The sequence below is a fragment of the Homo sapiens genome, chromosome 2 (assembly GCF_000001405.40).
Source record: "Homo sapiens chromosome 2, GRCh38.p14 Primary Assembly".
Taxonomy (NCBI): Eukaryota; Metazoa; Chordata; class Mammalia; order Primates; family Hominidae; genus Homo; species Homo sapiens.
Window position 1 is genome coordinate 55,945,027 of NC_000002.12, and position 12,925 is coordinate 55,957,951.

A 12,925-nucleotide genomic window follows, 5' to 3' on the forward strand; every position below is an offset into this window, starting at 1 on the left:
AGTTATTGTTATTTGGCATGTTGAAGGTGTTATTCCATAATCTTCTGGCTTTCATGGTTGCTCATGGATGTCAGCAATAATTTTATTAATAATCGTTCATTTGTAGATAATCTCTTTTTTCTCTCTGGCTTCTTTTAAGATCTCTTGAACTCAGGTGTGCTGTAATTTCTCATGATGTCTCTAGGTGCGGATTTATTTTCATTTTTCCTTCTTGGCATTGTTATAATTCTGAATCTGAAGATTTATGCCTTTCCACAATTCTAGCAACTTTCTTGCATCTCCTCATTTGCTTCGTTATCTTTGACTGTCCTATTAAATATGTCTCTCTCTTCTGACTCTCTTCTCCAATCTCTGACCTCTCTTTTATATGTAAATCTTTGATTCTTGTTGCTGCATATGGGTACTCAGATTTATCTGTTAACCCATGGGTTCTCTCTTCAGCTCTAACTTGAAGATTAGCTTGACAATTAGGTTTCTAATATTACGATAGTTTCCAGTTTAACGTTTTGTCTTTTTCACCACTGTCTATTTTTATACTCCCTTGTTTCTTCATCATTTTCAGTATTTTTTTCTGTAAACACATTAAACTCATGTATTTTTAAATATAATATCTGATAATTCTAATACCAGCAATTTTTGTGAGTCTGATTGAATTGCATAATTATTCTGCTGACTGTTGTTCATAGTGGCTTGTTTCCTTATTTGTTTTGTGATTTTTATTTGTGAGCTCATAATCATTGGAACTCTATCTGTGGGAAATCTGAGGCCTGGGTTAAAGTTATCTTCTATAGAGAGAATTTAAATTTGCTTCTGCAAGCCAACAGGGGAATGAAACCAAGAGCTACTTTAGTCTGTAATCTTTTTGTTTTCCTCTGCATAGATAATGTGAGTCCTGTTACCAAACCAAAGTGAAAGTTTGCCTGAGACTATGAGTTCTTAGGAATTCTCTTCTTTTTTTCCTTTATGCAGAAACCAGAATCCAGAACCCTTGCTTCGTGAGTCAGTGGGATAGTTTTGTTTCGTTTGTTTGTTTAGTTTACCTTTTTCATTGAGAATATCTCCTTTCATTATTTCAGCTTTGTGGAAATGTCTTGATCTTAATTTCTGTTTTAGGTTGGTCCTGTCTCCTATTCCTCATTAAAATCAATATCTCCAAACTGTAAGAAATCACAAATTTCTGCAAATGCCTCCAGGCAACTGTGCTGTTGAGTGCTTGGTTACCTTTTTGGATTCTAGCTTTTAAATCATTTTTGCTTCTGAAAATTCCTTTATTTTCTTGCCATCTAAGCTATGCTTCTAAAAAGGTTTTTAAAAATGTTTTGTTCAGAATTTTTAGGTATCCTGTACAGAAAAATTCCTTGGGATGCACCATATTGTTGGAATTATAAACCTAGAAGTTTAAAACTTTGAGGTAGTCAGGTGTATCAATATTTTCTTTCATGAATTTTGTTTTCGGTGTTAAGCTTGGGAGGTCCTGCTCCAGTTCAAGAATATCCAAATGTTCAAATACATTTTCTTATTGTAGTTGCATGGTTTTATGTTTTAAATGTTTAAATATTTATTTCATTTGGAGTTAATCTCGATGAAACATGAAAAGTAGGAATCTAATTTTATTTTTTTTCTCAGATAGTTAACTTGTTGTCCCAACATCTAGGTAATTTGTTAAAAAAAAGAAATATAAAATAATAATGGCTAAAGGTATAACTAGTAATGAAAAGGATTGTGTTTTAGTCGAAGTTACAAACATACTTGTTAGATGCATAATATGGAAAACCAATTGTGAAAATGAATAATTCTGTGTTTTTTAAAAGTATGTTGATTTCCTTTGTACTCTGTGAAAGAGGGTGGACTTTTAATTCCTTGGTTTATTCACCAGTTTCTCTAACAGAAATTTTTTTTCTAAAAAATGTCCAGGATACTATAAAATGGAGCATTAAAATAGGAGACTCTGGAGAGCAAAAGATTTTTTGCTGACTCCATGTTTTTTGTTTTTCTAAAATCAGAATCTTGTATATATTGAATTTACCCATTGTGACATAATTATTGATGATCTAGTAGAGAACTAGAAACAGATATGTATTAATTTGGATGGGGAAAATTGGACTTTCTTATTTTCCCAGGAATGACGGCTATGAAGATGGAGACAGAGGTGCATGGATAACCCCTATGGAATATTATTATGCCCTTCCTCATAGATTAAATTTGCGCTTTTTTGTCAAGTTTCCCTTTACCCATGGAATTATTTCCATGCAAACTAGAAAGTCACTGTGGTGAGAAGTAAAATTTAACTTCCAATTGAAACTTGTAGCTTACATTGCCACAGATCCATGTAAGAATAACATGGGTTTTGCATTATGGGCATAATCTCTATCATTCAGCAATTATTTGTTGATCCTTTGAAACTCCATGCTGGGCCTTGCATTGAATAGGAAGAGACTTCAATCCTCATTTATTTATAAGGTGGGAGAACGGGTTAGTTTTATTAATAGAACATATGAATGATTAATCACATAAAAAAGGTCAAAAAATAGAAATACATTTGAAATTAAAAGTGTATGGAAGAGACTTGACCCTCTTTGGCACTTCTGGATTTTATAGTATTTTCCACTTACAGTCAGAGAACTTTGACTGTTATTGCTTAGCCTGGTAATTATAGGTGAACAAGGCAGTTAGAGGTTGGATGGAAACAGGATTGCTTTTACAGACATATTAGAAGTTGCTTTATGGACTACGTTTCTGAAAGCTTGTTTGCTTGTTATTCTTTCCTCATTAAAGAGAATTCTAAGAATTCTGAGAATTCTAGAATTCTAAGCAACAGTTGCAACATCTTTCATATGCCCAGTGTCCAACACAGTGTTGGGAACATAGTAGGCATTCAATAAACACCTGCAAATTAACGGAAAAGGGAGCGTAGGAAAACACCACCCTGTTTATTTTAACTTTCTGGTTGATTGCATTCTAGATAAATGACAGTTTATTATAGAGAGAAAAACAGGATCTGATGGAATCTAGGAAAGATGTGGAAAGGGGAGTTTGTCCAGCAGGTCAGGAAATTTGAACCCGTTGTCAAGGGTTCTAAATGTTTTTCCTGTTCAATGTTACACATCATTCATTTTTGTTTGTTTTTATGTGAGCTTAAACTTTGGGTAATTTCTTGATTAGTGCCTTTTAACTTTTTAATTTAACATCAGGTTTGTTTTTTTTTACAACAGCTGCCCAAAATATCCCTGAAAAATGAGGGCTGTGTTCACCTTTAATACTTAAAAATCACTTGGAGGCAGTTCAATTGAGCATGAGTATGTGTTTGCAAGAAAGTAAAACACAACCAGAGTGAGTAACCTCTGTTCTCTGAGGCTTATTGCATATCATTTATGCTTGAAAAAACAGTGAATTTATTTGTTTTAATGCCCCAAACTTTGACTTAAGAGTTAAAAAAAGCTAGCTGACCAATATAGTAAAAATGGCAGCAAACTTACTTTTAACTGGGATGGTATTTAATCTTACATCTCTTTATCACAGAACATGTTGAAAACAGAAATAATTTTCTAATGTTGGAAGCACATTTAGAATGTTTTCTCTGGTAATATAAAATGTAGGCTGGCCAAATTCAGTGAATAACCAAAGTTCCCAAACCCACCCTGGAGATAAAGAAGAGTTATTTTTTTAGCTTAAATTATCCAAATAGCTTATCTTTATAATCCCATGACATTCAGTAATTGCTCAATCTTCATCTGGTCCCTGCTGCACTGTGAACTGAGCTATATTAATGAAATGAAAGGATTTAAGGAAATAGTATGCTAGGAATCAGCAATGAAAGGCTCATTTTACTTTAAAAATGTTGTTTTTAAATTAGAGATGATACATGATAATTTATTTAAACCTGAAGAAATCCTGATTCATCTTCTCAAATATCTATATTTTGTTGATTATTCCATGGAGATTTTACTCTCTTGTTTTATATTTTCTCTAAAGGAGTGGGTGGGTCTTAGCTTGATTTGATGTTTCTTCCCAGGCCACCAATAAAGGCAGGCTTGTTTCCCAAGTGATTTTTATTATCTTTCTAGAAAAATGCTGATGACAATAACTTTTTAAATTACCCTTTGTACTGAACTTCTTCATGCCTTCCTAATCAAATATGTTAACAGCCAATTATTTAAAATTTAAGAAGTAACTTTGAGTTAAACAAGGGCCTCTTCCTTAAAAATGGACCCTAGAAAGCATAACAGAGAATATAAGACATGTTTAGTTATTTTTTTAGATTCAGAGTTTGATTAGAGAGAAAGTGACATTGATAAAATGGCCTTTCAGTAATTAAGAACTTTTGTTTGGTCCTTGGCATTGTGCCATACACACTGTGGGGTATAAAAGCTTATGATGTGGTTACAGTCACCAACTTACAGTCTAGATAACATGAACTTACAGTCTAGATAACATAATCATATTTACACCTGAACTTCCAGCAATTAAACATACAACTAAATGCCAAAATGAGTAGTATAAATAGCAAATACTATAAGAGTTCTTAATGCAGGTTACCTATCAGTATAGGCCAGTTGACTTACACAGTGGAGTCACATCTTACTTAGGGGTTTGGTACTAAAGTCAATATACAATATGAAAATTATGCAAAGTCAATATCCTTGAAAGCCTATTAAACTGCTCATAAATTTTAGTATATCCCATCACAAATATGTGCTACATTAGATACTAACACACTCTCTCTCAGCAAGTGCTGTACAGTTAGTGTTTCCTTTGCTGTAGACACAGATCACTAAAGAAGTGGGCTTGGCTTTATCAGCATCTGGAGCTGCTTAGACTACAAGGGGCACGTGGGGAGTGAATGCTCCTTCAGTGGAATAGACGGCAGAACTGCCTACACTTTACAGTTCTTTTACTCACATCCTTTCCAATAATCATGTAGAGGCAAGTTTACATAAAGTGTGTACATGATGTGTTCCATTTTAGATAAATTACCTGCACTCTTGCCTTCTCTTTCTCTAGCTGTAGATGGTAAATGTTGATTTGTTTTTATTTGGCTGTATTTAAGATTCATGTAGCATACTTAAATCAGCATATTATTTTTCCATGCTTATTTTAAAAATAAGACCAAGGCTGTCCTAATTAGGACCTTTGTATTCTCCTCTATAATTTTCCTATGTTTTTCTTCCCCTCCTTTTAGTTTCATGGGAGAAAATATACTCTACCTATTCTATAGCCAAAACTACCACCTGTCCTGGAACTCACTCTTTCTCATTTTCTTTAGGACTCCACCCCCTCATCCCCAAACTGAATAACCAATTAGCAGATATTTACAGAGCATCTACTATGGTGCAAATTATTGGACTAAGTTTGGAAAAGAAACTTTGAAGTGCATCAAAAGGGAAGACTGGGACATTCAATTGCACAAAGTACCATGTTATAAGCACCAAGCTGGTGATACAGAGAGTCAGTACTGTGGTCATTTCAGAGAAGGGAGACACTCATAGCCTGGAGTGAGTGGCTGAGAAAGTCCAGGGAAGGGGCTCGGGACTGAGCCAGGCCTGGAACCTTGGGTAGGATTAAGACAAAGAGAGCAGGGTGCATTCATAATTCCATTCATTCAGACTGAGATACATGAGTGCTGCCTGGTACTGGTCCTCTGTGAGCTCCTGGTCTAGCGATGGAGACAGACAGTGAAAAAGATAAATTTCAACAATGTGGCAAATGTGATTATACAGGGATTTGAACAAAGTCTTGTAGGGGCACAGAGTGTGGAGGAACCCTGTTGGATTCTGATAAGAGGTAAGAAAGGACAGGTCATTTGGGCGGCACTTTAAAGGTAGGTAGGAGCTTCCCAGGGCACAGAAGGGAGAAAAGCCTCTTTGGATAAAAGAAAACACTGCTCCCAGGAATAAATCTGGAACGAATGAGAAGCCCACCATGGCAGAGATGAAGTGCTGGATGTGAAGGGTGCGGCACAGGGGGAAGCAGACTGTGAAACATCTTCCATGACTACGGGAGGATTTGCATTTCACCTTCTAGGAAAAAGAGAGTGAAAAGAGAATTGGAAGCCACAACATGCCATTATAAGATTTGTTTTCTGACAAGAAAATGCATTTAAGCCTAGTGGCAGGGAGACCAGATAAGAGGTTGAGGGCTACACAAGGGCAAGATTGTGTTGAATTCCTCTTGGTATGCCCAGCACCTAGCACATAGGTGTGCTATATTTTACTGAATTGAGCCTTTGTGTTGCCTATATAGTCTAAGGAAGGGCTGAGAGCAAACTAAGGCCTTAGCAATGGAAGTAGAAAGAAGAGGTCAAATTTGAGTGAGGTTTGTGAGATAGATTCCACAGGGACTATTTTTTTGATCAGATGTGGTGGGAGGGGATTAGGAAGAAGAGAAAGTTGAAGATAATGCTAATGCTTCTTAACTTGGGAGGCCAGATAGATTTGTTATGAAATAAAATAGAAAACACAGGAGCCATGATGGGATTTGGACTCTCTTTTGGAAGTGGCTGTTTTGTTTAAAGGGCCTGTGGATTTGTCCAGCGGGCAGTGGGAAGCATAGCTCTAAAGAGTGGCATTGAGCTTAAGGCCAGGGATACAGATTTCACAGTAACAAGCAGAGAATAGATGGACTGGGAGCAGATGAGACCACAGTGGAATGGCCACTCTCTGGGACTGGATGAGGACTGTACTGAGTTGAAGAGTCCCCTCCCTTCACCGCCCCGGGATTTCATGTCTACCCAGAACCTAAGATTCTTACCTTATTTGGGATTGTTTGGAGGTTCTAGCAGGGGAGTGCAGCTACTTGTATATCCTTGACCAAAGACTGGTCCTCCTCTATCCAGATGGTCACCTTCTTCCCCCGAGTGCGCAGCTTCTGGAGGGATGCACATGGAGCAGTGAGGGAGGAAGAGGACACCTGCCTAGCCAGCCAGATCAGCCGAATCAACCCTGGTGATCAATGGAGTGACAGATGTTGCAGCCATATCGCCCTCATATCCTGTCACCTTATTTGGAATTGGGTCTCTGCAGTTGTAATTAGTTAAGTTAAAATCAGGTCATATTGGATTAGGGTGGGCCCTAATCCAATGCCTAGTGTCCTTGTGAGAAGAGAAAACAGAGACACAGACACACAGTGGAGAAAGCCATGTGAAGACAGAAGCAGAGATTTGAGTAACGCATGTATAAACTAAGGAACACAAAGGATTTCCAGGACCTCCAAAAAGGTAAGAGAAGACAAGGAAGGACCCTCCTTATGGCCTTCCGAGACAGCATGGTTCTGCCAACCCTTGATTTTAGACTTTTAGCCTCCAGAATTGTGAGAGAATATGTCAATATGTCTGTTGTTTTAAGCCACCCGGGCTGTGGTATTTTGTTATGGCAGCCCTAGAAGATTAATACAAGGACCATGGATGAGCCCTGGAACCTGACAGTGAAGGGTAGCAGGAAATGAGAACGTGAGAAAGGGGCAGAGAAGGAACATTCCCAGAGGTAGAGAAGGCCATGTGAGTGCATGAGGGGAGTAGCACAAGAATGGCTTGATTAGGAGAGACGACTTGTGGTGAGGCATGGTTTAGAGATAAAGTCTCAAAGATGTTTAGAGCCAGCTGAGGTGCACTTCCGTGTCAGGAACAGCCATATATGGTACATGGGCAGCCTCTGATGGTCGGGGGCATGCAGGGGACAGGATGGTTCTGGGCTGTTTCCACATCTCCAATCTTCTGTCTCTTCCCTCCTCTTGCTTCCAAACTCATGCCTGTCTCCCCTATTCTGCAAAGGACAAAGCAAATGACCCTGGGTCTAATCTGCACCCACTGCCTCCAATTCCTCACCACTCACCCTCCAGGACTTGATTTCTAGCTTTAGTTTCCCAAGTAGTCTTTAACTTGTTAACTCCTGTGCCTTTTTGTTTCTCCTTGTTTTCCTTGACCTCAGTGCATCTCTGCAGTACTAATATTTCCGATCTTCTCTGCCTTGTCCGAAGTTTCTCTTCATATGACTTCTCTGCTGCTATATTATTTCAATTCTTAAATTACATTTCAGTCCCCCTAGGGTTCATTCTTCCTGCTGCTGCGTAATGTGGACTAGATGATTTTCTTGGGTTAGCAATGACTTCTATGATTCCCTCCCTCTCTCCCTCAGACAATTTATATAACTATTCATTGAATGAATTAATTATGAATTAATTCAGTAAACAGTAATGCCACAAAAATTTCTTCACATTTGCCCTCTCTCAGACCTAATATAATTTTGGTTAGGAATATTAAGCATCAGTTCTAATCCATGTCTGTTTAGAATTCCTCTTGTTTTATTCAAAATGTTTCCTTAAGGAGCTTATTGAAGAAAATTTAGAAAATACAGAAAAAGAAAGAAGAGAAAAAAGCATCCAATATTTCCTTTCATCTTTTTTTTTTACATGAAGGGTTTTCTTTCATTTTTATAAGCAAGCATTTTTATATATGTATGTGTATCTATAATATTGGCTTATTTTCTGTTTTTTAATATTATAAGCATTTTTATGTTATTACCAATGTTCATAGGTATTTCTCATGGCTACATAGTAATCTATTGAGAGATTATATAATTTTTTCCTTAATCATTTTCCTGCTGTTCAACATATATGCTGTTTCTGTTTTTCTATTAAAAATAATGCTGCAGTAAATATCTTTGTGCACAAAATTTTTCCTATTGTAATTGTATTTAAAATAATATCTCCCTCAAAGTGGAATTTTTGGATCTGGGGTATAACCATTTTACATCTTAATATATATTGTCAATTTGCTTATATGGGGTTCTATACCAAATTGCACATCAGCAGTTTGTAAGTACTTGTTTTACCACCGCCCTTAAATGCTTACTTTAATTTTCTGTTCTTTAAATACTTGCCTTTCTTCCTGCAAGAACATTGATGATGTAGGTGTTCTTAGTGACGAGACCTACAATTTGTATATTTTTATAATATATATCTCTCTATATATTACAAAATACATAAAATTATTATATATAGAGAGAGAGAGAGAGAGAAAGAGAGTTTCTGTTAGAAACTAAGTTGACAAGAATCTGGCTTTTACTAACAAAAGCATGTTTACTTGAAAGCAGAATCTTAAAGAAAAAAGAAAAGATCTGAAAAGAAAATTTATTATGGTTTAGAGGCAGTTTCTGAATCTGTGGGATAGCATTTCTCTGTGATTCCTCTGCAGAATAAGAAAACATTCTTAATTGCTTAATTTTAAGCAGAAAAACAATTCCAACAGAGAGAGAATAGTTTTCTTTATGGAGATACGATATTCACGTATCCTTATGGAAAATATCTTCCCAAGGGCATGTACAGATGAACATTTTCTGATATGCTTGTTATCTGCTGGCCACATGAAGTGACTCTTTAGCAAAGCTTACATGAGAGATTTGTGTATTGCCCTAATGTAGGCATGTGTAGCCTGTGGTGTGTAGGATTGGCTCAGAACATTAATTAAATTCTTCCTGCTATTTTATACAGAATGTACTGTCAGTTTATAGTGTCTGTAGAGTTCTTTCAAAGAGTCTAAGATCTACCATTTTATAGCAAACAGTCCATGTCAAGTCTGATTTCTGAATCACTTTCTCATAATTCACTGCGTTTCTGGTTAGTGATACTTGAAGAAAAGTTAGAGAAAAGATAGGTGCTTGATAATACATAACTGGTATGTTCTGTATTCCCAGGTTTTTGAAAAATCAAACCAGTGGTGATATGCTAAAAGCTAAATTTTGTAAAATGTTAAACATTCATGAAAGAAAAGCTAGGTTTCCTGCCAGCCTTGCGGTCAGCAGCAGTACTCTGGCCTGATTACTTAAGCCGATGTTTTTCCTAAATCAGTCATGAATCAGTAATTATCAAGTTTTGCAATACTAGGCAATTCTCTTGAGAACAGCAAATGATTTGTAATGTTAAGTTGATAGCTTTTTTAAAAAAAAAAACGAAATAATTTGGCTGCTCTTGATGGGTTTCCCTGGGCACTGGGCAGACCCCTATTGATTTAATGGGCTTTGTCTGTGGAAGCTTGGTAGATTTATCTTTCTTACACGATCAAATAGCACATATTTGTTTTCTTTCTCCACAAAAATAAGAATGCTGCTGGTGTGTAGTATATTGGTTTCGCTTCTATTCATTTGGCTTAACTACTTAAACCACAGTTTAGTCACAAAATGGAAAAAAATGAGAAGTCATAGAAACAAAATCAAAAATCAAGATTTTTTGCTTTATTTAGTTTCTTCCAGCATGTTTTGGAATGACCTGCTGGTAACTGTTTTCTTCTCCTATAACATGTTCTCTTTTGTGTATGGGGATTATAGATCCTAGAGTTGGATCTATAAGGGACTTATAGGGACTTTGTGAAAAAATTTTAATTCAGTCCCCTGATTTTTGAAGCCCATGGGAGTTTAAAACCTGTATCAGTTACAGAGCCCAGAATTGGTTTAATAGGGATCCAAACATGGGCTGTTTTTCTTACACAGTGGCATCGTTTCAGAGACAGGATACCCGGAGCTCAGCGAATGACATTGTTTGCAATTTGCTTTGAGGTACTGCGTGATGCTGGGATTTTTTTTTTTTTCAGTATACTTTAAGTTTTAGGGTACTTGTGCACAATGTGCAGGTTCGTTACATATGTATACATGTGCCATGTTGGTGTGCTGCACCCATTAACTCGTCATTTAACATTAGGTATGTCTCCTAATGCTATCCCTCCCCCCTCCCCCCATTCCACAACAGGCCCTGGTGTGTGATGTTCCCCTTCCTGTGTCCGTGTGTTCTCATGGTTCAGTTCCCACCTATGAGTGAGACCATTTTTTGTCCTTGCGATAGTTTGCTGAGAATGATGGTTTCCAGCTTCATCCATGTCCCTACAAAGGACGTGAACTCATCATTTTTTATGGCTGCATAGTATTCCATGGTGTATATGTGTCACATTTTCTTAATCCAGTCTATCATTTTTGGACATTTGGGTTGGTTCCAAGTCTTTGCTATTGTGAATAGTGCTGCAATAAACATACGTGTGCATGTGTCTTTATAGCAGCATGTTTTATAATCCTTTGGGTATATACCCAGTAATGGGATGGCTGGGTCAAATGGTATTTCTAGTTCTAGATCCCTGAGGAATCGCCACACTGACTTCCACAATGGTTGAACTAGTTTACAGTCCCACCAACAGTGTAAAAGTGTTCCTATTTCTCCACATCCTCTCCAGCACCTGTGGTTTCCTGATTTTTTAATGATCACCATTCTAACTGGTGTGAGATGGTATCTCATTGTGGTTTTGATTTGCATTTCTCTGATGGCCAGTGATGATGAGCATTTTTTCATGTGTCTTTTGGTTGCATAAATGTCTTCTTTTGAGAAATGTCTGTTCATATCCTTCACCCACTTTTTGATGGGATTGTTTGTTTTTTTCTAGGCAATACCTTTCAGGACATAGGCATGGGTAAGGACTTCATGTCTAAAACACCAAAAGCAATGGCAACAAAAGCCAAAATTGACAAATAGGATCTAATTAAACTAAAGAGCTTCTGCACAGCAAAAGAAACTACCATCAGAGTGAACAGGCAACCTACAGAATGGGAGAAAATTTTTGCCATCTACTCATCTGACAAAGGGCTAATATCCAGAATCAACAATGAACTCAAACAAATTTACAAGATGCCAGGATTTTAAACAACCAGTTTCTTGGTTGTCCGGGTCCCCTCAGGCTGTTACTCCTCTTCTGCATTCACCATCTCAGTCCTGTATACTTTACTCAGGAGACCTGTATAACTGTCTTGTCTATCTCCTGCTTGTTTACTTTTGGAGGCACTCTTCTTGGGCACATCTTTGACAACAGCTTTGCTTGGAGTTTCCCAAGAATCTGGATGTGCTAACATTCATGAGGGACCCTCAGGGGTCAGCATTGGAAGAGCCTTTCAAAATACTCTAGAATCCTACACATCTTGTCTTCAAGGGGCTTTTTTTTTTAGTTCTTTAGTTAGGACTTCATAATGGAGTGCCCTTGTCTAATAACTATGACCTTTTTTGAGCACTAATGAGTTTTGGCATTCTGAAGCTCTCCCCAGATACTGACTAGCACCCTGGGAGTTTGGTCAGGTTCTTGGTAGAAGTTCGACCTTCCCATTCTCTGTTTCCTCACCACCATTCAGAATAGGCTCTGGTACCCTGAATAAGCCTAACCCATGGCTAATCTTCAACATTGAAAACCTTGCAGTGTGGGTTCCCAGGTTTTATTGTGTTATCAAGGGGGAGCTGCAGAAATTCACACAATCACAGGACTGGAAGGGAGCCTACTGGTCATTGAATGCTTGCATCACCCCTACCAAATCACTGCCAAGTAATTATCTAGCTTGACGGGAAACTTATTACCTCCCAAGGCGGTTCATTTTAATTCAGACAGCTTCAACTGGTGGGAAATGCTTTTTCATACCTATTCAGTTTGATGTGTTTCTTGTATTGAGTAAACCAGAATTCCTATTAATTAAACTCCCCATAGTCTTTCCAGAGTTGACTTAACCTGTTACTTTTGGGAGGAAAACTTATTTACATTTATGGAACTTGGTGGATCCTGCCTTGTGAAATTCAGAATGCAGTCTTACATAATCAACAGACTTTTAGTGGGCATTTAATGTAAAACACTTTTTCAACTAAATTGAATTATTCTCTCCAGAAAGCAGTGATGGCTAGGACAGTAGTGCTTATAGAATGTGTCATTATTTTGGCAGCTACTGCCTTGGACTCTCAGTTATTTTATATGCACGGGTCTTGCCTGCATAGCCTGTTGCCTGTTTTGTTTGTTTGTTTGTTTGTTTTAAAAAGAGTCTCACTCTGACACCCAAGCTGGAGTGCAATGGCATGATCTCAGCTCTCTGCAACCTCTGCCTCCTGGGTTCAAGTGGTTCTCCCACCTCAGCCTCCTGAG

The 12,925-nt window shown here is 37.5% G+C and overlaps 1 long non-coding RNA gene and 1 pseudogene across 1 annotated transcript in view, besides 1 other annotated feature; one reads left to right on the plus strand and one right to left on the minus strand.

Annotated features, from left to right (window-relative positions):
- Positions 1-797: 797 nt before the first annotated feature.
- The window catches only part of LOC105374690 (uncharacterized), a 231,734-nt gene continuing 219,606 nt past the window's right edge, over positions 798-12,925 (plus strand). Inside the window, exons 1-3 of the long non-coding RNA XR_940109.3 lie at positions 798-885; positions 3,213-3,330; positions 6,833-7,213. This is a non-coding gene — a long non-coding RNA (uncharacterized LOC105374690). The remainder of the gene's footprint in view (positions 886-3,212; positions 3,331-6,832; positions 7,214-12,925) is intronic.
- Positions 6,606-7,805: an enhancer, noted in NCBI's record as "CDK7 strongly-dependent group 2 enhancer chr2:56178767-56179966 (GRCh37/hg19 assembly coordinates)". NCBI's record gives its function as "activates an origin of replication core promoter dependent on BRD2, BRD4, P300/CBP, MED14 and CDK7 cofactors, with strong dependence on CDK7, by STARR-seq in HCT116 cells {active_cell/tissue: HCT116}" and the evidence as "EXISTENCE:reporter gene assay evidence [ECO:0000049][PMID:35650434]".
- On the minus strand, positions 6,753-6,988 carry RN7SKP208 (RN7SK pseudogene 208; annotated as a pseudogene).